This window comes from Homo sapiens, chromosome 14 (genome assembly GCF_000001405.40).
Source record: "Homo sapiens chromosome 14, GRCh38.p14 Primary Assembly".
Taxonomy (NCBI): domain Eukaryota; kingdom Metazoa; phylum Chordata; class Mammalia; order Primates; family Hominidae; genus Homo; species Homo sapiens.
This window is the reverse complement of record NC_000014.9, coordinates 21,518,339-21,545,380: the sequence shown is the minus strand read 5'-3', so window position 1 is coordinate 21,545,380 and position 27,042 is coordinate 21,518,339. Positions and strand designations below refer to the sequence as shown.

At 46.8% G+C, this 27,042-nt stretch overlaps 1 protein-coding gene across 8 annotated transcripts, besides 10 other annotated features; it reads left to right on the top strand.

The window, feature by feature from the left end:
- Positions 2,483 to 2,982: an enhancer, noted in NCBI's record as "H3K27ac hESC enhancer chr14:22010545-22011044 (GRCh37/hg19 assembly coordinates)". NCBI's record gives its function as "activates a minimal SCP1, AML or CMV promoter by ChIP-STARR-seq in primed H9 embryonic stem cells {active_cell/tissue: H9 hESC(primed)}" and the evidence as "EXISTENCE:reporter gene assay evidence [ECO:0000049][PMID:30033119]".
- Positions 2,983 to 3,484: an enhancer, noted in NCBI's record as "H3K27ac hESC enhancer chr14:22010043-22010544 (GRCh37/hg19 assembly coordinates)". NCBI's record gives its function as "activates a minimal SCP1, AML or CMV promoter by ChIP-STARR-seq in primed H9 embryonic stem cells {active_cell/tissue: H9 hESC(primed)}" and the evidence as "EXISTENCE:reporter gene assay evidence [ECO:0000049][PMID:30033119]".
- Positions 3,232 to 3,432: a silencer, noted in NCBI's record as "peak2116 fragment used in MPRA reporter construct". NCBI's record gives its function as "represses an SCP1 promoter by STARR-seq MPRAs in K562 erythroleukemia cells {active_cell/tissue: K562}" and the evidence as "EXISTENCE:reporter gene assay evidence [ECO:0000049][PMID:32103011]".
- SALL2 (spalt like transcription factor 2) lies at positions 8,260 to 24,301 on the top strand. Of its 8 annotated transcripts, none has more exons than NM_001291446.2 (4): positions 8,260 to 8,532; positions 19,727 to 20,044; positions 20,450 to 22,548; positions 23,137 to 24,301. In NM_001291446.2, exons 1-4 carry the CDS (start codon positions 8,460 to 8,462, stop codon positions 23,371 to 23,373), a joined length of 2,727 nt encoding a protein of 908 aa, NP_001278375.1. In that variant the 5' UTR covers positions 8,260 to 8,459; the 3' UTR covers positions 23,374 to 24,301. The 8 variants fall into 8 exon arrangements, 6 of the variants coding, with proteins under 6 accessions (NP_001278375.1, XP_011535366.1, NP_005398.2 ...); NM_001291447.2 differs by lacking the exon at positions 8,260 to 8,532 and adding an exon at positions 19,035 to 19,320; NR_111966.2 differs by lacking the exon at positions 20,450 to 22,548.
- Positions 10,486 to 11,351: an enhancer, noted in NCBI's record as "OCT4-NANOG-H3K27ac-H3K4me1 hESC enhancer chr14:22002164-22003029 (GRCh37/hg19 assembly coordinates)". NCBI's record gives its function as "activates a minimal SCP1, AML or CMV promoter by ChIP-STARR-seq in naive H9 embryonic stem cells {active_cell/tissue: H9 hESC(naive)}" and the evidence as "EXISTENCE:reporter gene assay evidence [ECO:0000049][PMID:30033119]".
- Positions 17,789 to 18,616: an enhancer, noted in NCBI's record as "NANOG-H3K27ac hESC enhancer chr14:21994899-21995726 (GRCh37/hg19 assembly coordinates)". NCBI's record gives its function as "activates a minimal SCP1, AML or CMV promoter by ChIP-STARR-seq in primed H9 embryonic stem cells {active_cell/tissue: H9 hESC(primed)}" and the evidence as "EXISTENCE:reporter gene assay evidence [ECO:0000049][PMID:30033119]".
- Positions 18,617 to 19,444: an enhancer, noted in NCBI's record as "H3K27ac hESC enhancer chr14:21994071-21994898 (GRCh37/hg19 assembly coordinates)". NCBI's record gives its function as "activates a minimal SCP1, AML or CMV promoter by ChIP-STARR-seq in primed H9 embryonic stem cells {active_cell/tissue: H9 hESC(primed)}" and the evidence as "EXISTENCE:reporter gene assay evidence [ECO:0000049][PMID:30033119]".
- Positions 19,098 to 19,157: a silencer, noted in NCBI's record as "silent region_5583". NCBI's record gives its function as "represses an Ori minimal core promoter by ATAC-STARR-seq in GM12878 lymphoblastoid cells {active_cell/tissue: GM12878}" and the evidence as "EXISTENCE:reporter gene assay evidence [ECO:0000049][PMID:35858748]".
- Positions 20,275 to 21,102: an enhancer, noted in NCBI's record as "H3K27ac-H3K4me1 hESC enhancer chr14:21992413-21993240 (GRCh37/hg19 assembly coordinates)". NCBI's record gives its function as "activates a minimal SCP1, AML or CMV promoter by ChIP-STARR-seq in primed H9 embryonic stem cells {active_cell/tissue: H9 hESC(primed)}" and the evidence as "EXISTENCE:reporter gene assay evidence [ECO:0000049][PMID:30033119]".
- Positions 21,618 to 21,804: a silencer, noted in NCBI's record as "fragment chr14:21991711-21991897 (GRCh37/hg19 assembly coordinates)". NCBI's record gives its function as "represses an EF-1alpha promoter that drives an FKBP-Casp9 reporter gene in an ReSE screen in HepG2 liver carcinoma cells {active_cell/tissue: HepG2}" and the evidence as "EXISTENCE:reporter gene assay evidence [ECO:0000049][PMID:32094911]".
- Positions 25,514 to 26,013: an enhancer, noted in NCBI's record as "H3K27ac hESC enhancer chr14:21987519-21988018 (GRCh37/hg19 assembly coordinates)". NCBI's record gives its function as "activates a minimal SCP1, AML or CMV promoter by ChIP-STARR-seq in primed H9 embryonic stem cells {active_cell/tissue: H9 hESC(primed)}" and the evidence as "EXISTENCE:reporter gene assay evidence [ECO:0000049][PMID:30033119]".

The window sequence follows — 27,042 nt, the reverse complement described above, 5'->3', positions numbered from 1 at the left end:
TGAAACCCCGTCTCTACTAAAAATACAAAAATTAGCCAGGTGTGGTGGTGGGCGCCTGTAGTCCCAGCTACTCGGGAGGCTGAGGCAGGAGAATGGCGTGAATCTGAGAGGCGGAGCTTGCAGTGAGCTGAGATCATGCCACTGCACTCCAGCCTGGGTGACAGAGTGAGACTCCGTCTCAAAAAAAAAAAAGAAAGAATGAAGTCCAAATAATTACAAAATGGTGGTATAATAATCAACAGGGCAGAATCTGTTTTATTTCCCATCGTATACTACGTACCTAGCACACAGGAGGTGCCCAAAAAATATTTGTTGAATAAACTCAACCAAGGACATATTGAAATAATTTTCACTTAAAATATAATTAGGAATTAATTAGACATCATCAAGAAGTTTCTCAGTATCTCTTTCCTGGAATGATCTCTAAAATGGTGAATAGATTATTAACTCACTAAAAGGTATTTTTTTTGTTTGTTTTTTTGTGGTTTTTTTTTTTTTGAGATGGAGTTTCGCTCTTGTTGCCCAGGCTGGAGTGTGATGGCGCAATCTTGGCTCACTGCAACCTCCCCCTCCCAGGTTCAAGCAATTCTCCTGCCTCAGCCTCCTGAGTAGCTATGGGATTACAGGCATGCGCCACCACACCTGGCTAATTGTAAATTTTTAGTAGAGACAGAGTTTCTTCATGTTTCTCAGGCTGGTCTCAAACTCCCCAACTCAGGTGATCTACCTTGCTCCTCCTCCCAAAGTGCTGGGATTACAGGCGTCAGCCACCGCGCCCGCCCTGTTCCTCTTCTTTTTTTTTTTTTTTTTTTTTTTTTGAGACCGAGTCTCTCTCTGTTGCCCGGGCTAGAGTGCAATGGCATGATCTCAGCTCACTGCAACCTCTGCCTCCCGGGTTCCAGATTCTCCTGCCTCAGCCTCCAGAGTAGCCGGTATTACAGGCGCGTGCACCATGCCCAGCTAATTTTTTTTTTTTGTATTTATAGTAGAGATGCGGTTTCACCATGTTGGCCAGGCTGGTCTCGAACTCCTGACCTGAAGGGATCCTCCCACCTCGGGCTCTCAAAGTGCTGGGGTTACAGGCCTGGGCCACCACGCCCGGCTGGCCTGTTTCTCTTCTTAAATGTTTCTCCTGGATGCTCTGACCACATTTCTATTATAAGTTATCAATTATTCATATTCTCTGTCATACTTCAACCCGTATGTTCCAGTTCCTCCAAAGACTTGCCTCTGCCATTTAACTCTTTCTTTCCCATCATTGATTTGTTTTCCTTTTTGATTGCTCTGTTTATCTTTTTGTGGTTTTTTGCCTTTCTTATTGTCCTCTCTCCTCATGCTATGGTTTCTACTTTATCCCCACCCTCTGAGGATTTTTTTTTCTAATGGCCAACCTTAGGATCCCCAGAACTTTAACAAATATCCTTATAATTTATCCCTCGAAAGCACTCTCTCTCTCCCCGCCAACTCCCTGCCACCACCCTATCCTTCTCTCCGCTGGCTGCTAGGCTCTTGGCCCTTCCCCCACAACCTCCCTTTCCTGTCCGACTACCTTGTCCTCTTTACATTCTCCCAATTCCCTTATATTTAACATGAGGAATGAGAAGTGGAAAAATGAAGAAAAGCAAAAAGAATAAAGTCTATCGTTCCTCCTCTGAACGTTTAAATTCCTTCCATCTTCTGCTGAATGAACTCTGAAAAGAAACACCAGACAACACTCAGTCTGAATGACCCTCCTTGATCTTCACTCCCTCCCTCTTCCCCTAAAACACCATGGCAACTACCACCTGAAAGAGGTTAGGCGGAAATCATCTAATAAGACCAGAGGTTGTTTGCCAAGGCTTTCTTATTTAGGAAAGTTTTGCAAAGGGCGCTTTACCCTAACTCTGTATTCTCTCACTTCCTTAATGCTAGCAAGACAAAGAACATGTGACAGTATATGTTATTATAAGATCCATAATTTTAATAAATGTTGACTTTGTAGATCTTCAAATTTTCTTTGCAATTTGTAATTTTAAGTTATCCTCCAGGTCTGCAGCCAGAAGGCAAGGCCCATAACAGAAGCAGAAATCACCAGATGGCAATAAAGTATTAAATTGTGTGAAAAAAACATAGGCTGTCCAATCAGGCATTGCTTGCACAAATTTCAACCCTGCTCTTTATCAGCTACAAGACCTTGAGCTATTAAGCTATATGGCCTCTCTAAGCCTCAGTTTCCTTATTTGTAAATTGGGGTGTTCTCCATGCATGAGATGGGGACTATATAATGCTCCCTTTGCAAAATTATTTTAAAGATTTAATGAGATTATGTGTCCAAAGGGCAGGGTGCACAGAATGCACCACAGCTATGATTATTATCAACCGAAACAGTACATGTGTTTCTAGATTCCTAGTTCATTTCTCTTGCAATTAAATCAAGTCATGAGATCATAGGATTCTAACGCTTCAGAAGGTAGAGAAAATGCCTCCACAATACCTCCATTTCTGAAAACAAACTAGAAAAAGAAGAATAAGAGCAGAGTGTTTTCCTGAGAGAAAAGGCATTGAATGAAATGGCAAAAAGTTTTCCAGACTCCCTCATGACTACCATTTTATTTTTAGGGAAAAACCCCCTAGAAGCTTAGAAGCTTTTTTTTTTTTTTTTTTTTTTTTTGAGACAGAGTCTCACTCTGTCACCCAGGCTGGAGTGCAGTGGCGCAATCTCGGCTCACTGCAGTCTCTGCCTCCTGGGTTCAAGTGATACTCCTGCCTCAGCCTCCCAAGTAGCTGGGATTACGGGCATGCGCCACACGCCCAGCTAATCTTTGCATTTTTAGTAGAGATGGAGTTTCACCATGTTGGCCAGGCTGGTCTCGAACTCCTGACCTCAGGTGGTCTGCCCGCCTACACCTCCCAAAGTGCTAGGATTACAGGTGTGAGCCACTGCACCCGGTCAGAAGCATTTTTTAAAATTTCTTCTTCTTCTTCTTTTTATTTTTTTGAGGCAGAGTTTTGCTCTTGTTGCCCAGGCTGAAGTGCAATGTTGAGATCTCAGCTCACTGCGACCTCTGCCTCCCAGGTTCAAGCAATTCTCCTGCCTCAGCCTCCCAAGTAGCTGGGATTACAGATGCCCGCCACCACGCCCAGCTAATTTTTGTATTTTTAGTAGAGACGGGGTTTCACTATCTTGGCCAGGCTGATCTTGAACTCCTGACCTTGTGATCCACATGCCTTGGCCTCCCAGAGTGCTAGGATTACAAGCGTGAGCCACTGCGCCAGGCCAAGTGTATTCATCTTAACAACATCAAAACATTTGGCTAAAGGCAGTACACACATTTGTGAAGCATGTTATGTATTTCGTCCACAGGCAGCGCTTGGTTCATGGGTATCCAAAACCAGTCAAACATAATTGTTTCAAATTTAACCCTGCAAAGGAATCATTCAAGAGCTTGTTTAAATATCTTAGGCTCCACCCCCAGAGATTCTGATTAAGTAAATCTGTGGGGGAGCCCAGGAATGTGAATTCTCCATAAATTCCCCATGTGATTGTGGTGTTTGGGAGTCACTAGACCAAAAGAGAGTAGAGAGCTCTGGCAATAAGCATTCGTGACTGGCTCCTCATCTTTCTCTTCCTGAGATGTCACTCCAATCACCTTCTCCTTGCTCCTCGCAGTTCCTGGTTTTAACTGGGGTGTTGGGCTGATACCACAAAACAGCATGTAGGAAACTCTGAGAGTCAAATACAATGACTAACATTTTTTATTTTATTTTACTATTTTATTTTATTTATTTATTTATTTATTTATTTATTTATTTATTTATTTATTTTTTGAGACAGAGTCTCGCTCTCCCCGAGGCTGGAGTGCAGTGGTGCGATCTCGGCTCACAGCAAGCTCAGCCTCCCAGGTTCATGCCATTCTCCTGCCCCAGCCTCCCAAGTAGCTGGGACTACAGGCACCCGCTACCATGCCCAGATAATTTTTTTGTATTTTTAGTACAGACGGGGTTTCACCATATTAGTCAGGATGGTCTCGATCTCCTGACCTCATGATCCACCCACCTCGGCCTCCCAAAGTGCTGGGATTACAGGCATGAGCCACCGCGCCCGGCTATTTCATTTTCTGAGACAGGTTCTCACTCCACCCAGGCTGGAGTGTACCAGTTTGATCACTGATCATGCATGGCTCATAGAAGCCTTGACTTCCTGGGCTCAAGTGATCCTCCCACCTCAACCTCCTGAGTAGCTGGGACCACTGGCATGCGCCACCACACCTGGCTAATTTTTAGTATGTTTTTGTAGTGACAGAGTTTTGCCATGTTGCCCAGGCTGGTCTCGAACTCCTAAACTCAAGTGATCCAGCCGCCTCAGCCTCCCAAAGTGCTGGGATTATAGACATAAGCCACTGCACCTGGCCAGCTTTCTTTTTTTTCTTTTTTTTTTTTTTTTTTTTTTTTTTTTTTTGAGACAGAGTCTTGCTCTGTCGCCCAGGCTGGAGTGCAGTGGTGTGATCTTGGCTCACTGCAGCCTCTGCCTCCTGGGTTCAAGCGATTCTTCTGCCTCAGCCTCCCAAGTGGCTGGGACTACAGTCACGCGCCACCACACCCAGCTAATTTTTGTATTTTTAGTAAAGATGGGGTTTCACTGTATTGGCCAGGCTGGTCTCGAACTCCTGACCTCGTGATCCGCCCGCCTCAGCCTCCCAAAGTGCTGGCACTACAGGTGTGAACCACTGCCCCTGGCCAATTTTTTGTATTTTTAGTAGAGACGGGGTTTCACCTTGTTGGCTGGGATGGTCTCGATCTCCTGACCTCGTGATTCGCCCACCTTGGCCTCCCACAGTGCTAGGATTACAGGTGTGAGCCACTGCACCCGGCCCAGCTTTCTTTAAAAAGCAACAGGAGCCGGGCGCAGTGGCTCACGCCTGTAATCCTAGCACTCTGGGAGGCCAAGGCGGGTGGATCACCTGAGGTCAGGAGTTCGAGACCAGCCTGACCAACATGGAGAAACCCCATCTCTACTAAAAATACAAAATCAGCCAGGCATGGTGGCACATGCCTGTAATCCCAGCTACTCTGGAAGCTGAGGCAGGAGAATTGCTTGAACCCAGGACGCAAAGGTTGCAGTGAGCCGAGATCTCTCCATTGCACTCTAGCCTGGGCAACAAGAGCGAAACTCTGTCTCAAAAAAAAAAAAAAAAAAAAAAAAAAAAAGCAACAAGATACCATCACATAGAAGAAGATGAGGGTAAAAAAATAAAAAGCAAAAACATATATATATTTTTTTAAGGATTTAATTTTGACACCCAAATACCTTAACATTCATTTTAACTAATCCAGAGGCAACCTGTGCACACAAATGAAGGAAAGAGAGATTATGCACAAGTGGCCTGGCTTGAAAATTGGCTCCTTGACGAAAACACCTCAACAATGCTGTAAACGATTCCTGAAGATAGATAAATTATTAGACCAACATCCAATAGGGAAGCCAAAATAAGAAATGTTGATAAAATTAGAAAATATCATAAGAATCAACCACAAATCCAGAAAAAAGAGCCCATCTTCACCACCAGTTCCCCCAATCCAGAATATTACACACCCCTCCCAACCACCCTAGAGCCTCTCTAGCTCTGGCTCTCGTATATGGGAAGAGACTGGGGGTGGGGTGCCAAGATAAGTCCCTTCTTCCTATCGTTTATTATCTCCCATGCTCTCGAGTCCCTCTTCAGCTTCTTGGGAATGTAAGCCCTGAGTTTACAAGGTCAAAAGACCAAGGAACATTTCCCAAAAATTAGATGACAAATTGAAAAAAGAAAAGTGGTGTTGTTATTTTTAATATTCTCTTCTAGTATGAAGTTTGAGTGTCTCTCTTCTATTTCTCTGTCTCCTTTCATTCTCTTGCTCTTTTTCTCTCCCTCCCTTCTTTTGCCTCTATCCCTCTCCTTCCCCTCCCCTCTCCACTTCACCACACACAGAAACCCCTTTTCAAAGGGGCTTTTTTCCAACTCAGTGAAGTAAAGTCTTTGCCCCTTTGTGGGGAAGGCTCATTAACATTCCCACAGCAGCATCTCTTCAAGGATTTTACTTTTGTAACTCTGTGGGGAGGTCAAGAGGCCACAGTGGAGAGGTAAAAGGAAAAAAAATGGTAAACTGGGTAGGGAGGAAGAAAGAAGAGGAGGGGAAAGAGTCCTTCCTTTCACAATAAGACCCACAAGAAGGAGGGGGAAAAATAGGAAAAGATGAAGACAGCCAAGATTCAGGAAAAAAGACAAATGTGGACCCTGAAATCTGCTCCCTTGGAGATTTCAGACTCCTGAGAAAAGCAGAAAGCTATTTTCCTTCTCTCCTTTCCCTTCCTGGAAGGAAATAAATGATGGAAACAGTGGGGTGAGAGGATGACAGGACTCAGTCTATTCCACGGAGGAATCAGAAGCTTTCCTAGGCTCAGTACCCCTATTTCTCCTACAATGGTCTAGTAATAAATAATGGCACCTGTCTACCACAGGGGAGTTAATAGGATGAATTACATAATGTCAGCAACAAGAGTTCCAAGGGTAGACTTGAGAAAGCCACCCAGGGCCCTGACACCAAAGGACTGGAAAAAAAAATGGAGATTCAGTGAACTCCAAAGCAAAGATGAGAGCATTTTCCAAAACTCTTCAGATGTAATGTGGATACCTGCTTCAATTATCACTAGCAGCACCCCTGCCATCTGCTGTCTCCCTTTTCCTTTCTTGGTATTGCCAAACTAGCTTGAAATTGTGTAAGGGAAGAAATGCAAAAACCTTCAAATTTGCACCCAAACCTGTGAGTGAGCTTTCTTTTGCTTTTCTCTGAAGATAAAGCCATCAGAGATTTACATTACTAATCCTAAAAGGGGAAAATACTTCCCACTTTTCCAACTGATGGTGTTTCAGATGCTATCTCAGCCAGAAGAATAAAACAGAAATCATGCTAAAAGAAAGGGGCCCAGGCATTATTGCCAGAAGACAGGGCATATCCAGAATATTCTATGCCCAGTAGCTCAGTAGTACTCAAATATAGGTAGGAACATCACAGCCAGAAGTTAAAAATAAATGAATCACCCTCAGTGTACAGGCTAAGCAGGAGAAACCTGGTTGTTGCCAAACAGTGTATTGTGGAGATGGAGGGATTCCTTTTTATTTATTTTATTTTATTTTATTTTTGAGACAGAGTCTTGCTCTGTCACACAGGCTGGACTGCAATGGCGCGATCTCGGCTCACTGCCACCGCTGCCTCCCAGGTTCAAGTGATTCTCCTGCCTCAGCCTTTGGAGTAGTTGGGATTACAGGTGCCCACCACTACGCCCAGCTAATTTTTGTATTTTTAGTAGAGACGGGGTTTCAACATGTTGGTCAGGCTGGTCTCGAACTCCTGACCTCAGGTGATCCGCCCGCCTTGGCCTCCCAAAGTGCTGGGATTACAAGCATGAGCCACCGTGCTCAGCCTAATTTTTGTGGTTTTAGTAGAGATGGGGTTTCACCATGTTGGCCAGGATGGTCTCCAGCTCTTGACCTCATGATCTGCCCACCTTAGCCTCCCAAAGTGCTGGGATTACAGGTGTGAGCCACCGTGCCCAGCCATTGCTATTTTAAATGAGATTCCTTGAGATCAATCACTTTTGTTTTTCATGATAGCAGTTTGGTGGCATATTGTGTCTTTACTGATATAGAGGAAACAATGTTAGGCTACTGTCAGATGCACCTGGATTCCAGGCCTGTGTCTGATACATCACAGCTGTGCAACTTTGGAGAAGTTACTTAACCTCACTGGGCCTTTTGATTCATCTATAAAGGGACTCAGCTATAAATAGGAGTAGTAAAGCCTACTGTGTTCATCTCAGAGTTATAACATTCAAAACACGTTATAAATGAAAATATTCTATAAATTATAAAGAGCTATACATATATTACTCATAATCAGGGCATATCAGAAGGTTCTTATTTCAGTTTATACCCTAAAAGCAGCTACATTATCAGAGGGGCATAGAAATATGACAGAACCAAAAAGCACAGTGAAGATCTTGGAAGAAGAGTTAGAAAAACAAGCCAGGGACAGTTTCTGAACAGACAGCACAGGGAGAGGCCCAGGGCCCTTGCAGGGAGGAGAGGGTTAAATCCTTTCCTCTGCAGTACAAAAGAAAAGAGTGTGCGGAAAGATTAGGATTTTTGCTTTTACAATGGGAGCTGCAGAAGCGTAGGGAAGAAGCTGAAGAAAAAAAGGGGGCGTCTCCCCTTTAAAGACTTGCAAAGATTGAGAGAGAAAGAGAGAGAGTCAAGAACAGAGAATCAGAGAGAGAGAGAGAGTCTGTGTCTCTGGGAAAGAAGAACATCTCTGCTTCACAGTGATTTGCGCTGGGGGAGAGGCATCAATTGGCTTCGGACCCAAGGGGGAGACGAGACCAGGTCACCCCGGTTAAGACCAAGTGAGCGTTGCCCCTCCCTCTCCCAACTCTCTACCCGGGAATGTCTCGGCGAAAGCAGCGGAAACCCCAACAGTTAATCTCGGACTGCGAAGGTCCCAGCGCGTCTGAGAACGGTGGGTGCCTGGGGAGGGGTGGGGGCCCCTAAGTCCAAGCCTGTGTGGGTCAGGCCAGGGCAAGGGGAGGGCACTCGGGCCATGGGCGAAACCAGGCGGGGGCGGACTTGGTCACTGGGGGTTTGAAGGAGTTGAGATGCAGGGAGTAAGAGATGACCTGCGCTGGGGAGAAGCCCCGCTTGTTACTTGGGATTGATTCTGTTTGTGTTTTCCTTGTTTTTCTCTGGATGAAATGGAGTTTTCAAACTGGCTCTGTCTCCCCACCCAAGAGTTTTCTCCTCAGGTCTCCCTTTGCTCACTGGTCTTTGTGCCGTTGCTAAGTAACGTCCTCAGACCTGAAGACCGTCTCTTCGGGGTGGGATTTTCCCCCCTTTTCTTTCTGGAGAGTTGGGTTGCAAGAGAATGAATTGGATAAACGTGAAGGCTCCCCTGAGGGAGACGAGAAAAAAGTTTCTCATTGTTGGGCTGAACTGAGAGCCGATCAGAGCTCCCAGAGGGAGAGAGCTAAGGTCGGTCAGAATGCAGCCTGGTTTGGGGTGTGTATGCGTGTCACCTGGAGGACAGCTGAAGGCTAGGTCTGGATGAGGGGCTTAGGTTTGTGCTTCAAGGAAAGCAAAGCAAAAAACAAAACAAAACAAAAGAAGTGCAAGAAAATACACCTGTTACTACATGCATATCATTTTATGAGGATACCGTGTTTTTGAAGCAACAGGTGTCCCTTATGAGGGGGAAAAATTGTATGTATTCTTGTAACATTCCGTTAAGTGACAGGCAGACAGTAGAGCAAGCAGGGAATTGAAGAGTGAAATTGCTCAGAGTCTGAGAGACAGAAGCAAAATCAGGACAAAAACTTCAATTTCCTAATGCTCAGGGCTGGCTGGTAGTGCTCACTAAACCCACTAAACCTGGGTTTTAAAAACTTGCCTGATTGTGAGTACATCTGAGCCAGGGTGTGGGAATCTATATATTTTGCAATTGTCCAGGTAATTCTTAGGATCAAAGAAGTTTTGGACATACTTGTCAGTGGTATGGCTCCATATGTGCAGACTGAAAGTCTGGAAGTCCTGGCTCCAGACAGGCAACTGTTTAGCATACAGTTGATACACCCAACAGTATAGTATAGGATTAAGCACAAGGGTTCTGAAACCAGACTTTTAGACAAATCCCAGCTCCACCACTTGGTTAGCTATGTGACCTTGGCTGGTTTATTTTGCCTCTCTATGCTTCAGTTTCCTCATCTGTGAAATAAAGATGTGTATACTAGCTACCTCATTAGGTTGTTGTGAAAATCTAAATGAGTTAATATGTGTAAATCCCTTGGAAAAATACCTAGCATAAATAAGTGCTTAATATGTGTGAATATCGTTATTATCATTATATGTGAATGCAGTGACACTGCCTGCAAGTGCTGTAGTATGACCAAAACTCAGGAACCTCTTGGCAAACGTCAGCATTTCTTTTTTTTTCTTTTCTTTTCTTTTTCTTTTTTTCTTTTTTTTTTTTTGAGAGAGAGTCTCGCTCTGTCGCCCAGGTTGGAGTGCAGTGGTGCAATCTTGGCTCACTGCCCGCTCCACCTCCCAGGTTCACGCCATTCTCCTGCCTCAGCCTCCCGAGTAGCTGGAACTATAGGCGCCTGCCACCACGCCGGGCTAATTTTTTGTATTTTTAGTAGAGACGGGGTTTCACCGTGTTAGCCAGGATGCTCTGGATCTCCTGATCTCGTAATCTGCCCGCCTTGGCCTCCCAAAGTGCTGGGATTACAGGCGTGAGCCACCGCTCCCGGCCATCAGCATTTCTTTATGAGACGTGTCATGAAAAGCTCTAAGAGAGTGTATTGGTGGCGACTAAAATTGTAGATTAAACTTGCCTTTCCACCTGTTAAAAAACAAAAACTTGAGGTCAAATCAGCGCTCCATGTGCTACAAAATAACCTTAACAGACATGTTTTGGGCAGAACGCATCCTCCCCGAAACACTGCTTTTCTGGGATCCTACTGTGCCCATATTTAGAGGTTCTATGGTGATGGCATCCTTCCCTCCTGAGACACATTAGCCCTTCTTAATGCTGCTATAGGCCGGATGTTTCCTGCTTGTGCTCTACAGGAGACTTCCCCTAGAGCCTCAACTCCTCCCCAGAGTTGCCTCACAGTTCTGCTCTCCTGCTGGTTTGATTGTGGAACTATGCTGAACACCCCTCCAAACCCCCAAGAAGCATTCTCTCCTCTTCTTCCTACTTCCTCCATCTGCTCACCCATTCCCCATATCATAGCTGAGGAAAAATCTTCTGTGAGGGAGTCAAAAGCTATCTTTAGCGGCTGTCTTGAATGGATTTTCAAGCCCTTTAAGATATAGCTTCCACCTGGGGGCATGGTAATGCTGCTACAAAGCCATCCCCATAGAAACAGTAAAGGTTTAAACCCAATGGCATCAACAAATTTTTGATGAAAATTTGCCTTTGAGCTATGAAAGGCAGGAACAAATGTAAGGAGCAAGGAAGCAGTAGCACCCTCTGTTAAGATCTACCGTAAGAAAGCCTAAGGATTTTCTCATCAGAATTCCCCTGGAGTGAAAGATCCTAGGCTACTTATGATCTGGATGTCATTGGGCCTCATCTGCAAAATGAGGTGGCTCTATTTGATCGTATCTAAAATTCCTCCTGGATCTTATAAGCTTATAATATATAAATTTCACATTTTCTGGTTTTCTTTTAAATTAATAAATTTTCTTAATCATGAATGGGGCAGCATCCATTCTGCAAAACAGAATGAGAGCTCTCCTTTTCCCTAATTTTTTATAGACAGGGTTTCTATTCACTTATGTGATCTTCAGGCATCTGACTTCCTTCTACCCCAGAGCATGCTCCACAGTTAGGGAGGAAGGGCTCTTATTTAGGGGCACATGTATCCTTTGGTGTACCTGTGAAATTATGGATATCATCATGAGTATCAGAAGACATTTAGTCAGTAGTCTAGGGTGCCAGTAATGTTTCCAGGAGTCTTTTGCCTTCTTGTAAGCAATATGTGCCATATACAACATGCAAATGCTGAGCCTTTGTTACATATTTTAAAAGCCAAAATTCTGCAGTGACCTAAGACATCACCAAGAAACAGTCTGAAAAATCTGTTTTCCAGCCGTTTTTGCTCAGCTTCCCTAACCAGAGCATCAAAACCTAACAGAACAGTTATTGCATATAAGTGATGGGCAGGAAATACTCTATTCACTTAAAAACTCTAGAGAGGAAAAAAAAAAACCTTCTCTCTCCCCTACAGAGTCTAGAAATCTGGATTAGAGAACACAAAGGATGTGACTGGGGGAAAAATGCAAACCAGTACATCTGGGAAATAAAGGAAACAATCAGAAACCCAGATATTTAGTGAGAAGAAGAAACCAGGACAGCAGCCAAACAGATCTAGAGGGAGAGAGGGGAGTACTTTAGATGGAAGTTGGCAGATAGCAAGAACAGCAAGAGAGGAAAGAAGGCAAAGGTAGAGTTTTGGGGGCTCTGTTTACATTTGGAAGTAAAGAGCCTCATCTCTCAGGTTATTGATCCCTGGGCCACTCAACCTAGGTATTCCCAGATCAGAAAAAACACATTTTGGAATAGAGAGTATCTCAGTCCTGGTGTTACAGAGTACTAGATAAGAAAACAGAAAACTTGGTTTTCAATCTAGTGTGGACCTTGAAGCTATGTGACCTTGGGCACATGTGACCTTTCTTACCCCAGGGCTTCATTCAGCTTTTGACATTCAAATAATAACTAACACCCATGGCTAATATTTGTGGAGCATTCAGGTACTGTGCTAGGCCCTTTTTGCATTTCCTCTTTTTCCTCCCAACTCCGTTATTATTATTATTTTATTTATTTATTTATTTATTTTTATTATTTTGAGACGGAGTCTCGCTCTGTCGCCCAGGCTGGGGTGCAGTGGCGCGATCTTGGCTCACTGCGAGCTCCGCCTCCCGGGTTCACACCATTCTCCTGCCTCAGCCTCCCAAGTAGCTGGGACTACAGGCGCCCGCCACCACACCTGGCTAATTTTTTATATTTTCAGTAGAGACAGGGTTTCACTGTGTTAGCCAGGATGGTCTCGATCTCCTGACTTCATGATCCGCCCACTTTGGCCTCCCAAAGTGCTGGGATTACAGGCGTGAGCCACCACGCCCAGCCCCAACTCCCTTATTATTACAAAAAAAATTTTTTTCTTTTTTTGAGACCAAGTCCTACTCTGTTGCCCAGGCTGGAGTGCAGTGGCACGTCTCGGCTCACTGAAACCTCCACCTCCAGGGTTCAAGAGATTCTCCTGCCTCAGCCTCCTGAACAGCTGGGATTACAGGTGCATGCCACCACACCTGGCTAAAATTTTTTTATTGTAAAATATGTGTAATAAAATTTACCATTTTAACCATTTTTAAGTGTACAATTCAGTGGCATTAAGTACATTCACTATGTTATGTAACCATTACTGCTGTTTCAATATCTTTTTCATCATCAAACAGAAACTGTAACCGTTAAACAATAAATCCCCATTCTCCCATTCCCTTAGCCCTGTTAGCCTCTACTCTGCTTTCTGTATGTGTGACCTTGCCAAATTTCATATTAATGGACTCATATAATGTTTGGGTACCTCATACTAATGGAATCATACAATATTTGTCCTTTTGTGTCTGCTTTATTGCACTTAGTATGTTTTCTCTTTTTTTCTCAATTAAAGTCAAATTTGTCTGAAAGCATAATGTTTACAAAGTTCATTCATGTTGTAGCATGTATCAGAATTTCCTTCCTTTGTATGGCAGTACCCTCATTTTAAAGAAGAGAAATCAGCCGGGCACAGCAGCTCATGCCTGTAATCTCAGCACTTTGGGAGGCTGAGGTGGGCAAATCACTTGAGGTCAGGAGTTCAAGACCAGCCTGGCCAACAAGGTGAAACCTCATCTCTACTAAAAATACAAAAATTAGCTGGGTGTGATGGCGCACACCTGTAATCCCAGCTACTTGGGAGGCTGAGGCAGGAAAATCGTTTGAACCCAGGAGGCGGAGATTGCAGTGAGCCGAGATCACACCATTGCACTCCAGCCTGGGCGACCATTGCACTCCAGCCTGGGCGACAGAGCGAGACTCCGTCTCAAAAAAAAAAAAAAGGCTGGCCAGGCGCGGTGGCTCATGCCTGTAATCCAGCACTTTGGGAGGCCGAGGTGGGCAGATCACCTGAGGCTGGGAGTTTGAGACCAGCCTGAGCAATATGAAGAAACCCCGTCTCTACTAAAAAAATACAAAATTAGCCGGGCGTGGTGGCACATGCCTGTAATCCCAGCTACTAGGGAGGGTGAGGCAGGAGAATCGCTTGAACCTGGGAGGCGGAGGTTGCGGTGAGCTAAGATCGTGCCATTGCACTCCAGCCTGGGCAACAAGAGTGAAACTCTGTCCCAAAAAAAAATAAGAAAACAAACTCTGGGAGAGATTAAGAAATTTTCCCAAGATCACAAATATTAGAATGTTCTAGAGCTGGGACTTTAACTCAGGTCTGAATCACTGTGCACAATGACAATGAGAGTGTCAGATCTCTGAAGTCCCAGCTCCAAAATGGTATGAATTCCATGTTAAGTGTTGAGTCCTTTGAAGTCAAAGAAATTTTCATTAAAAGAACATTCTTATGTTTGATCTAAGATATTCCTGTTCTGGAAACAAATATCTTTTTCTCACTTAGCACCAGGTGTACCAATCATTGTGCCTGTTAGTCTACTGTGTTACATAGGCCATAGTTACATTAGTAGGTCTGGGTTGCAAAGGATTATTATGTGTCTACATTTAGGAAAGAGGAGTAAGGAGGAGAAGATGAGATATTTCCCTAAGAAGTAGTCAGTAGCAATAGTTACAGAATCAATTCATAATTATGGAAGCTACCAATTAGCATTGTTCAGTGTCAATAATAAGTAAGTGGGCCAGAGGCAGTGGCTTACATCTGTACTCTCAGCACTTTGTGGGGACAAGGCAGGAGGATCCCTTGAGCCCAGGTATTCCAGACAGCCTGGGCAACATAGTGAAACCTCATCTCTACAGAAAAAAATATTTTAATTAGCTGGGCATGATTGTGCATGCCTGTAGTCCCAGCTATTCAGGAAGCTGAGGTGGGAGGATCACCTAAGCCTGGGAGGTAGAGTCTGCAGTGAGCTATGATTGTGCCACTTCACTCCAGCCTTAATGGGTGGATGATGCTTGAACTCTGTAGAACAAAGCCTTTCACCTTACAATTAGAAATATGGTGGCCGGGCGCGATGGCTCACGCCTGTAATCCCAACACTTTGGGAGGCCGAGGTTGGCAGATCACCTGAGGTCGGGAGTTTGAGACCAGCCTGACCCACATGGAGAAACCCCATCTCTACTAAAAATACAAAATTAGCCGGGCTTGGTGGCACATGCCTGTAATCCCAGCTACTTGGGAAGGCTGAGGCAGGAGAATCGCTTGAACCTGGGAGGTGGAGGTTGCGGTGAGCCGAGATCATGCCATTGCACTCCAGCCTGGGCAATGAGAGCAAAACTCCGTCTCAAAAAAAAAAAAAAAAAAAAAAAGAAAGAAAAAAAAAGAAATATGGCTCAAATATCAATTAAAAAAGAAAAAAATATGCTTCAAGATACCCATACCTGGGAAAGAAATGCAATCACTTAAACTTACAGTAAGGTGTAAATTATATCAAATTCTATTCATGGAAGCAGATTTTTCACTGGGAAAGGATACAAGGAAGTTAATGTGTGGTTGTGGGCACTGTAGGGAGGGGACCTGATGGGAAGATTTAGCATTGAGAGTTCATTTTGTCTGTGTCCCAATTGTGGCCAAGTTTAGCTCAGGTAAGATCTGTGAGGAGCAGGGTGGAAGGTATGATGGAAAGGGCAGTCCTCCATGTGGGTCTCATCATTGTGTCACCATCTTTGTATTCTCATTGGAATCACCTGAGGAGCTTTATCAAACTAATGCCTGGATCCTATCCTCAGGGATTATGAATTAATTAGCCTGGGATGTGGCCTGGACACAGGGATTTTTTTTAAGTTTGGTTGGTTGGTTGCTTTTGCAGAGATGGGGGTCTCACTATGTTATGCAGGCTGGTCTCAAATTCCTGGCCTCAAGCAATCCTCCTGCCTTGGCCTCCAAAAGTGCTAGGATTATAGGCATGAGGTACCCACTGTGCTTAAACTTTCTTTTCTTTTTTTTTTCTTCTTTTTTTTGAGATTTTGAGATGGAGTCTCAAACCCTTGAGCTCAAGTGATCCTCCCGCCTCAGCCTCCAGAGTAGCTGGGACTACAAGGAACAGACCACTGCACCTAAACATAAAAATTTTAAAACTCTCTTCTGGTAATCCTAATGGGCAGCAAAATTTGAAAACCGCTGTTCAAATGTATCACCCTGCTACATACAACTCACCTATTTTTCTCTTTGTTCTCCCGAACAGTTCTCTCTGAAGCCTAAAGAAGCAATCTGATGGGACACTAGATTTAGAAGGGAAGCCACCTGGTTTCCCTTTTCTTTGTCATTTCAGCTCTCTATAAGTTTAAACAAGCTTGTCCAGGTCTTAGTCCCACCCCGGACTTTGCATTTGACCGGAGATAGCTTACCTCACCTTATCTGCTATCTAGGGACACCATTACCAGTTTAGTTTATTCCTGCATTTGTGACTTCATTCATGTTTGTGTAAGAATCCTGCCCCCCTTTTCAGGATGTGCAGTGAGTGCAAAGTACTGAGAAATGGAGGGTTCCTCTTACAGGTGGCTGTTGATCCAGTCACCTTTCACCAGGGACTAAATTTACCTTAAAGAAGAGCTTAGATCAAATTACGCATCAGAAAGCACATTTCATTAAAGAGCAAGAAAGGGGACAGTGTTTCCCAGGAGAAGATGAAAAGAAAAGGATTTCTTTTCTTGTCAGAAGACTTGACAAAACAGCAACTGGATATCAAATGTTCAATGCTAATTAACAAATGCTCAGTAGAAAGCCTCCATCTGATTCCCTCTCCCTGACTAAGGCCAGGGAGCAAATGGCAGGTAGAAGCCACACAGGGCCCTTTCTCTAGCATTAGGGAAGCCATACAAAGTTGATGTGCTTGAGAAAGCATTGGACAGGAGTCAAAATTCTGAATGCTTGCTTCACTGAATTACTGTGTGAACTTGGAAAAGTCACTTAACCTCTCCAAGCTTCAGTTTCCTTATCTGTAAAAATAAACCACATTGCACAAAACTGTGACTTGCCATAAACTGAAATAGAACCCCCCTCCCTCATTTGTAAGTCCAGGCCTGGAAGCACAGAACCCGTCCATTTCAGAATTATGACTCACAATGCTAAGAGCCTTATTATCTGAAGTTTCAAAACATAATTCAGTAAACTGTTTTAAGTTTAAAAACACAGGCAAAATTTATGTTGAGAAGTAAAGTGGATGTTACTAATATTTTAAATAGGTTGTTTCAGCTCCCCCACCCACTGCAATAAAAGACTTCCTACCTTTGAAATATGCTGCTGATATTAGCCAATATCTTACCTCAGAAATTAATAAGATTAACAAACAACATGGAAAACAGATCTAATTTTAGTATATGTGTATTTAAGGTTACTTCGATTATTTTGCTACTGACAATGTAAATTATCTCATTGATTAAATTCAGGACTCCCCAAACTTTAAAAATCTCACATGTACATATTAATTTTTTTAGACTTTTTTTTTTTTTTGAGACGCAGTTTCACTCTTGTTGCCCAGGCTGGAGTGCAATGCCACGATCTCAGCCCCCTGCAACCTCCACCTCCTGGGTTCAAGCCATTCTCCTGGCTCAGCTGCCCCAGTAGCTGGGATTAAAGGTGTACCATCATGCCCAGCTAATTTTTGTATTTTTAGTAGAGACGGGGTTTCAACATGTTGGCCATGCTGGTCTGGAACTTCTGACCTCGTGATCTGCCCACCTCCCAAAGTGCTGGGATTACAGTGAGCCACCGCGCCCGGCTTTTTTTTTTTTTTAAAGTAATGGGGCCTCACTATGTTGCCGAAGCTGGAGGGCAGTGGTTATTCACAGGTGTGATCACAGCTCACTGCAGCCTCAAACTCCTGGACTAAAGCAATTCTCCTGCCTCAGCCTCCCAAGTAGCTGGGGCTACAAGTGTGCACCACCATACCTGGTTTACACATTAATATTGTCCAATTTTTCAATTTTTTGTCCCCACAATATTTTTCTGAGTAAAATACTGCAGCTACAATATTACCACTTTATGAAGAGGGAAACGGTGGTATAACATGGTGTGACTGACCACCATGTCTCAGTTTTATCAGTGAGGCAAGAATAGAACTGGGATTAAAACAATTTAGGTTTACTGATGCCCAGGGAAACCACAAAACCAAGGACTTGTGGTCACTTCCTGCATGTAAGAGAAAGTATTTTAGGAAGTGGGAAGCACTTTAAGACTCATTTCAAGGTAAAAAAGAGAATGCCAGAATACCTGGTCCAGGAGGCATTTTATTCTTACTTATCCTGTCTGAATAGGAGGCTGCCTCTGTGATGGTGAGCAGGTGTTAGCTATTTCTAAGCATTCAAATCAGGCTGGGGCTGAAAGGGCTTTAGACACTGAGGGCTGCCTGGTAGTTCCTACCGCATTGTTTCAAGAGGGCTCCCCTCCCCCCCAGGTTAGAGCTGGGTGGGCCTCCGTAGGCCTCTGCAGGCTAGCGTCTCCCCAAACCCACTGTCTTTAATAGTGACGGTGTGAGGAATGTTGCAAGAGGAGAATAGAGGAGGAAGAGGGTACTAAATAGGAGATGGCTTATTAAATAAGCATGGACTCTATGAATTAGGTGTTGTGTAGGCTGGGCGATCTGCGGAGTAACCTGCATTCAGCTATTATTCAGGGGGAGGAGGGGCGGGGAGTGAAGGGGCTTAGTGTTCCGCAGAGAGTCCTGAAATGACTTCCTGGGAAATTCTACCTTGCAGCCGCCCACCCTGAGAAACTTCTTTTGTGGAGAGGGATGGGGGTAGGGTGGGAATGGAAGTGAGAAAGACGAGACAAAACTTCGAATATTTTGGGGTGTGTGTGCTGGTGAGGAGTGGATGTTCTGATCTCCCCCTCTTCTTCTGGCCCTCAGACCTCTGAGGAGATCAGACGACCCTCTCTGGAATCCACTTTTTCCAAGCTCAGCGGATCCTTTATCCAAAGAAAAATAAGAGAAGCCTATCGCCTTGCTCCACTGAGCAGGGCTACGTTTCCCACTGTGCCCCTAGAGCTTAGGAGGGGAGGGCGGGGGGAGGAGGGTAGGCCTGGGCAAAGGCATCTGCAGATGGGGGGAGCTGGCCAGGGACCGGGAAAGGTGGACCCCCGCAGTGCTTCACAGCACCTGTCACTGCGCCTCCGGAAACTCTCCCGAGCTCTGAGCTCCCGCCCCCACGCCCCCGCTAGCGCTCCCTTCTCCCGCCTCCTCTAGCTCCCGCCTCCCTCCCCAGCAGCTCCTCCCCATAAACTCCCCTCCTCATCAGCTCCTCCCAGATCTCCCCTCTCCCCGCTTTCTCACTCCAGCTTCTCCCCGCCTCCTCGCTCCCCTCCCCCTCCGCCGCTGCTCCCTGCCCCCGCCGCTGCCGATCTCCATCTCCGCAGTCTGGGCCGCTGGGTGCAGAGGCTGCCGCAGACCCAGCGGCCATCGCCTCCCTCAATCCCAATATCCATTGTCTCCCACCCCACCTGGCCCTCCACTTCCCCCACAACCATGGCGCACGAATCCGAGAGGAGCTCTCGTCTCGGGGTGCCCTGCGGGGAGCCGGCAGAGCTCGGAGGTGCGGTAGGGTCGGTCGGGCTGGGCAGGGGTGGGGGCGGAGGGGGATGCGCAGGGGCGGCGAAGACTTTCGGTGGGTGGGAGAAAATGCATGATTCTCTGCGTAGGCCCCTGTCCCCACACCTATTCCGTGAACTCGCTTGTGGCCTGGGGAAGGGAGGGTGGCTGAGGAGGGGAGTAGCATGCTCTTGCCCCCCTCCCCTCCTCCCTCCCCACCCCCCTGCCCCATGCCGGGTTGTCTCCTGTCCACACGGATCAGGCCTGAGCTCTAGACTTCTGCATGGCCCTGATGGTGAGCTCATCTCCCCACCCCCAACTAGCGGTTACTGGCCTCCTTGTTAATTAGAGCCTCGGTATACCCAACCCAACTGCGCCACCCACGCTCTCTCTCCTTGTCTTCTCCCCAGGTGATGCTAGCGAGGAGGATCACCCCCAAGTCTGTGCCAAGTGCTGCGCACAATTCACTGACCCAACTGAATTCCTCGCCCACCAGAACGCATGTTCTACTGACCCTCCTGTAATGGTGATAATTGGGGGCCAGGAGAACCCCAACAACTCTTCGGCCTCCTCTGAACCCCGGCCTGAGGGTCACAATAATCCTCAGGTCATGGACACAGAGCATAGCAACCCCCCAGATTCTGGGTCCTCCGTGCCCACGGATCCCACCTGGGGCCCAGAGAGGAGAGGAGAGGAGTCTTCAGGGCATTTCCTGGTCGCTGCCACAGGTACAGCGGCTGGGGGAGGCGGGGGCCTGATCTTGGCCAGTCCCAAGCTGGGAGCAACCCCATTACCTCCAGAATCGACCCCTGCACCCCCTCCTCCTCCACCACCCCCTCCGCCCCCAGGGGTAGGCAGTGGCCACTTGAATATCCCCCTGATCTTGGAAGAGCTACGGGTGCTGCAGCAGCGGCAGATCCATCAGATGCAGATGACTGAGCAAATCTGCAGGCAGGTGCTGTTGCTTGGCTCCTTAGGCCAGACGGTGGGTGCCCCTGCCAGTCCCTCAGAGCTACCTGGGACAGGGACTGCCTCTTCCACCAAGCCCCTACTACCCCTCTTCAGCCCCATCAAGCCTGTCCAAACCAGCAAGACACTGGCATCTTCCTCCTCCTCCTCCTCTTCCTCTTCAGGGGCAGAAACGCCCAAGCAGGCCTTCTTCCACCTTTACCACCCACTGGGGTCACAGCATCCTTTCTCTGCTGGAGGGGTTGGGCGAAGCCACAAACCCACCCCTGCCCCTTCCCCAGCCTTGCCAGGCAGCACAGATCAGCTGATTGCCTCGCCTCATCTGGCATTCCCAAGCACCACGGGACTACTGGCAGCACAGTGTCTTGGGGCAGCCCGAGGCCTTGAGGCCACTGCCTCCCCAGGGCTCCTGAAGCCAAAGAATGGAAGTGGTGAGCTGAGCTACGGAGAAGTGATGGGTCCCTTGGAGAAGCCTGGTGGAAGGCACAAATGCCGCTTCTGTGCCAAAGTATTTGGCAGTGACAGTGCCCTGCAGATCCACCTTCGTTCCCACACGGGTGAGAGGCCCTATAAGTGCAATGTCTGTGGAAACCGTTTTACCACCCGTGGCAACCTCAAAGTGCATTTCCACCGGCATCGTGAGAAGTACCCACATGTGCAGATGAACCCACACCCAGTACCAGAGCACCTAGACTATGTCATTACCAGCAGTGGCTTGCCTTATGGTATGTCCGTGCCACCAGAGAAGGCCGAGGAGGAGGCAGCCACTCCAGGTGGAGGGGTTGAGCGCAAGCCTCTGGTGGCCTCCACAACAGCACTCAGTGCCACAGAGAGCCTGACTCTGCTCTCCACCAGTGCAGGCACAGCCACGGCTCCAGGACTCCCTGCTTTCAATAAGTTTGTGCTCATGAAAGCAGTGGAACCCAAGAATAAAGCTGATGAAAACACCCCCCCAGGGAGTGAGGGCTCAGCCATCAGTGGAGTGGCAGAAAGTAGCACGGCAACTCGCATGCAACTAAGTAAGTTGGTGACTTCACTACCAAGCTGGGCACTGCTTACCAACCACTTCAAGTCCACTGGCAGCTTCCCCTTCCCCTATGTGCTAGAGCCCTTGGGGGCCTCACCCTCTGAGACATCAAAGCTGCAGCAACTGGTAGAAAAGATTGACCGGCAAGGAGCTGTGGCGGTGACCTCAGCTGCCTCAGGAGCCCCCACCACCTCTGCCCCTGCACCTTCATCCTCAGCCTCTTCTGGACCTAACCAGTGTGTCATCTGTCTCCGAGTGCTTAGCTGTCCTCGGGCCCTACGCCTTCATTATGGCCAACATGGAGGTGAGAGGCCCTTCAAATGCAAAGTGTGTGGCAGAGCCTTCTCCACCAGGGGTAATCTGCGTGCACATTTCGTGGGCCACAAGGCCAGTCCAGCTGCCCGGGCACAGAATTCCTGCCCCATCTGCCAGAAGAAGTTCACCAATGCTGTCACTCTGCAGCAGCATGTCCGGATGCACCTGGGGGGCCAGATCCCCAACGGTGGTACTGCACTCCCTGAAGGTGGAGGAGCTGCTCAGGAGAATGGCTCCGAGCAATCTACAGTCTCCGGGGCACGGAGTTTCCCCCAGCAGCAGTCCCAGCAGCCATCACCGGAAGAGGAGTTGTCTGAGGAGGAGGAAGAGGAGGATGAGGAAGAAGAGGAAGATGTGACTGATGAAGATTCCCTGGCAGGGAGAGGCTCAGAGAGTGGAGGTGAGAAGGCAATATCAGTGAGAGGTGATTCAGAAGAGGCATCTGGGGCAGAGGAGGAGGTGGGGACAGTGGCGGCAGCAGCCACAGCTGGGAAGGAGATGGACAGTAATGAGAAAACTACTCAACAGTCTTCTTTGCCACCACCACCACCACCTGACAGCCTGGATCAGCCTCAGCCAATGGAGCAGGGAAGCAGTGGTGTTTTAGGAGGCAAGGAAGAGGGGGGCAAACCGGAGAGAAGCTCAAGTCCGGCATCAGCACTCACCCCAGAAGGGGAAGCCACCAGCGTGACCTTGGTAGAGGAGCTGAGCCTGCAGGAGGCAATGAGAAAGGAGCCAGGAGAGAGCAGCAGCAGAAAGGCCTGCGAAGTGTGTGGCCAGGCCTTTCCCTCCCAGGCAGCTCTGGAGGAGCATCAGAAGACCCACCCCAAGGAGGGGCCGCTCTTCACTTGTGTTTTCTGCAGGCAGGGCTTTCTTGAGCGGGCTACCCTCAAGAAGCATATGCTCCTGGCACACCACCAGGTACAGCCCTTTGCCCCCCATGGCCCTCAGAATATTGCTGCTCTTTCTCTAGTCCCTGGCTGTTCGCCTTCCATCACCTCCACAGGGCTCTCCCCCTTTCCCCGAAAAGATGACCCCACGATCCCATGAGCCTGTTTTTCTGTACCTGCTGCTCTTTGTCCCACAGAGCAGAAACAGCTTCACAAAAGGACCTCCCAGAGTTATGAGCCCTGATTTTGTCTTTTTCTCTAAGTTCTTAACATGTTATGTCCCTAGTGGCTTTTCTGTAGTCCCTGAGCTTGGAAATTACTGTGCTTACAAGGGGATGGCCCCCTAAGGAATTTTTCTTCCCTCCTCATTCTTTGTACCTGAGGAACATAGATTCTCTGCAGCTTTCTCAAGGGGAACCCTCTCCAGCTTCCCTGGTGTGACCCTTCTTCCCCCTCCTCTCTCCTCTCCCTTTCCCTTTGGTAGGTGCACCTGAGCACCTACATTTGGCATTGCAGCCTAGCCAAAAAGGGCTGGCAGCTGTCTCTGGAGGGCCCAGTGCCACTCCTCTGGGGTGACCTTTCTGCTCAGCTGGTGGGTATGGGTCCCCTATCTTTCTAGAACCAGTATGTGGCATTCCTGTCAAATGGCCTGCCCATGAAGCCCTGGAATTCCAGCTCCACCTCCACTACCACTCCAAGCCTGGCCCCACCAGTGCTGTTTGGCCTAGGAACTGTGGCTGGGAAGGTGCCTCCAACAATGGGATCCAGGGAAGCCAAGGAGAAGACAGCCCCCCTCCTATTTCAGCCTCCTGCACCCAAGGCAGTGCCTGAGAAGCCCATCATAGACAAGAAGTAGCAAACTGTACATTCCTTCTTCCTCCCCCTGCTCCAGAAGGTGCCGGTACTGAAGATGCTCCAGTAATTGGTGACCCAACCCTAGGAAGTAGGGAGAAATGAAGGAAGGGCATAGGAAAATTTTCCCAGTAAATCCCCTGATGGTCACATTAAGGTAAAGGTTTTGGCTGGTCAGTGTGCCAAGACCTCTCCAGCTTCTCATTCATGATGACCTCTCAAAGTTGGGAAACAAGCTGATTTCTTGCCAAGAGGTCTCCCAGGAGATATTTGGGAAATGTGAAGTTCGTATCTTTAAGGAGCATTTTTGGTCAGCATGGTTGATGAACTAATGATGAGAGAGTTAAGGAATGTTGCTAGAACATAGGGCTTGCTGGTACCTATGTGACTAAGAAAGGGACATGATGTAAGGGAAAAGGCCTCAAATTCTTGTGAATGTCTGGACATTCTCGTTAATATTCTTTTGGGCTAATAGTGACATAGTGTGCAGAGGTGTACCAGGGATCATGGGGGATTTCCTAGCACTAGTATGCTTCTAGTTTTAGATAACTCCCTCCTTTATTCCCTGGCCCCTTGTATTTTCCTTATCTTCCTCTTTCAAGACCCCTACCCATTTTGCCTATCCGTAGGCTGGGGCTTGTGTCTTTGTCATTGTCTGGTTCTTAAGAGTCCCAGACTTTGGGAGACCAGCTCCAGGTGGCGTCCTCCCTGCCTCTCCGTCTTGTAATGAGTTGTAGTATTTACTCTTAACATAGGATCATTTGGAACAGGAGTTCTGAGGAGGAGAGAGTGAGGGTTTTGCTATTGACTGACTTGAACGATGGCTTCTCCTCAAGCTGTAGGCTCCAGAGCTTCCTAACCTAGTAAAATGTCAAGAACAGACGGGAGATATTAGTGTCTTTCCCTCTATCATTAAAGGTGTTTTAACCAAATATTTATGTGTTTCTCCTTATTTCATGATTACATAGCCAGCTGGGGTGTGATATGGGCATTCCCCAAAATTGAGATTCCCTTCCCACCTACATCTCCTGCCAAAGCTGAACATATGGTGTTGAAATATTTACTTTATTCAGCCTTGTCCTAAGACAACCTTCAGTTAATGTAACTTCTCTGTGGAAATTGTTCCCTGTGGAGTTTGTATTTCCAAAAGGTAGGCATTTGCCCACTGTGTCCAGTCATTGTCTAGATTTTCTCTACCTAGAACCTTCCACCACCAGGCTTTTCTGTGGGTTTTGTTTGGAGGTTGGAAACTGTTTCTTTTCCGTCTTTCTCAAACCACAGATCAGCCTTCTGACATCAGCGAATCTGTAGAACCAAGGTGAATTAAACTTTATGATCCTTGAGATCTGATGTCATAATCAGAAAGAAAAAAATGTAATTCAACCCTAATAATTTCTACCAACAAGACAAAGGAGGATTCTTATCATTAGGAATTCAGAGGAAGCACATAGGGGTGGGGTCAAATAAAACATATATTTTTTTTTCCCTGTCACAATGGCTCACGTCTGTAACTTCAACAGTTTGGGAGGTCAAGACAGGCCTATTGCTTGAGCCCAGGAGTTTGAGACCAGCCTGGGCAACATGGCAAAACACTGCCTCTTCCAAAAATACAAAAATTAGCTGGATGTGGTGGTGCACACCTATGGTCCCAGCTAATCAGGAGTCTGAGGTGGGAGGATTACCTGAGTCCAAGGAGACTGATTTGTAAGATTATAATATCATTGACTCTTAGTGCTAAAGGGATGGAACTGGTAAAATGATTTGCCCAAAGTCACTCAGTGGCAAAGTTGGATTAAGAACCCAGGTAGGGCCAGCCACAGTGATTCACGCCTATAATACCAGCGCTTTGGAAGGCCAATGCGGGTGGGATCGCTGGAGCCCAGGAGTTCAAGACATGCCTGGAAAACAAAGTGAGACCCTGTCTCTGCAAAAAAATAATTAGCTGGCGGGGCACGGTGTCTCACGCCTGTAATCCCTGCACTTTGAGAGGCTGAAGCGAGTGGATCACCTGAGGTCAGGAGTTCGAGACCAGCCTGGCCAACATGATGAAACCCCGTCTCCACTAAAAATACAAAAAATTAGCTGGGCATGGTGGTGCACACCTGTAATCCCAGCTATTCAGGAGGCTGAGGCAGGAGAATTGCTTGAACCCAGGAGGCAGAGGTTGCCGAGAGCCAAGATCATGCCACTGCACTCCAGCCTAGGCAACAAGAGCAAAACTCTGTCTCAAAAAAATATAATAATTAGCTGAGCATGGTGGCAAGTGCCTGTAGTCCCAGCTACTCAAGAGGCTGAAGTGGGAGATGAAGGCTGCAATGAGCTATGATAGCACCACTGCACTCCAGCCTGGGTGACAGAGTGAGACCCTGTCTCAAACAAAAATAGAACCCAGGTAGGCAGAATCCCAGTCGTTGCACTACTTTCACTGATCAGAGATGGCACTTGCTTCCTGCTACATCATTTAAGACTCTGGATGTGAGGCTGCCTGTAAGAAGGGAAAGAGGTGAGTAAACCTATTCCTTGTTGGGGGGTGTGGGGGAACAGAGTCTTAACTCTGTCACCAAGGCTGGGGTACAGTGGTGCAATCACAGCTCACTGCAGCCTCAACTTCACAGGCTCAGATGATTCTCCCATCTCAGCCTCCCAGGGAGCTGAGACTATAGGTGTGCCCCACCACACCCGGCTAATTTTTTGTATTTTCCGTAGACACAAGGTTTCACCATGTTGGCCAGGCTGGTCTCCAACTCCTGGGCTCAAGTGATCTGCTGCCTCGGCTTCTCAAAGTGCTGGGATTACAGTCATGAGCCACCATGCCCAGTATAAACCTATACTTAATTTAAGATAGAGAACCAATGTTTAATTCTAGTTGCCCCCACCAGAGCAGTGCAAGTCCCCTTTAAAATGTAACTGATAAATAGGAACACATGGGAATCTTTACTTTCTGGCAAGTCTTTGTAGATCTGCTTTTTCTCTCAGCCTGTGGAAGGAGGTGGGTCACCAATCATTCCATCCCCTTAACCTCTCCCACCCCCACTGGACACAGATAATGCCATTTAACTAATTAAACCAGACTTGCCCTCTCTTTAGGTGCCAGTTCCCATTATGGTAACAGCTGTCAGTGAGGCTTTTATTGATGGATACTTCCCTGGGCAGGCCAGCACTGAGCCTGAATCCCCACCCCGCTTTTTCACAGCTCTACTTTCTTTTCTTTCTGCCTCCTTTTCATTCTTTTCTCTCGCCTGTCCTGCTTTTTCTCCTTTCATTGACCTCCCCTTATTTGATAGCTTTTATTTCTATTTCTTTTCTCCCTTCATCCCTAATTTATTGTTTCTCTTCTTAGAGCCTTTAATTTCTTCCTTCTTATAACTGACCCTATCTCTACGCTCAGCCCCACCACTTCCCACTTTCAGTAACTTTTTGCTGGACAGTCTTTTTGGAAGTTGAATTAAGTCTAACCTGCAGGAATGAATATGTAAATAAATGCAGCTTGCAAAACACTTATTTTCCGTGAAACAGAGGATCTAGTTCAAATTGGATGAATAAAGTCATTGCTATTATAAGAAGCAAGAGACAGCTTCTTTGCTCATTCAGTTGACTTTTGAGGTTTTACTTTGTTTCAGAGACCAAGAGTTCTCAATTCCCAGTCAAAATGATTTTTAGGCTGGGCACGGTG

Bases quoted from the DNA above. Each gene is read 5' to 3' on its own strand.
- SALL2 (XM_011537064.2), top strand. From the start codon at position 8,460: ATGTCTCGGCGAAAGCAGCGGAAACCCCAACAGTTAATCTCGGACTGC. The intron at 8,533-19,726 runs GTGGGTGCCTGG...TCTTCTCCCCAG, and splicing joins TCCCAGCGCGTCTGAGAACG to GTGATGCTAGCGAGGAGGAT. The intron at 22,549-23,136 runs GTACAGCCCTTT...CTATCTTTCTAG, and splicing joins TGCTCCTGGCACACCACCAG to AACCAGTATGTGGCATTCCT.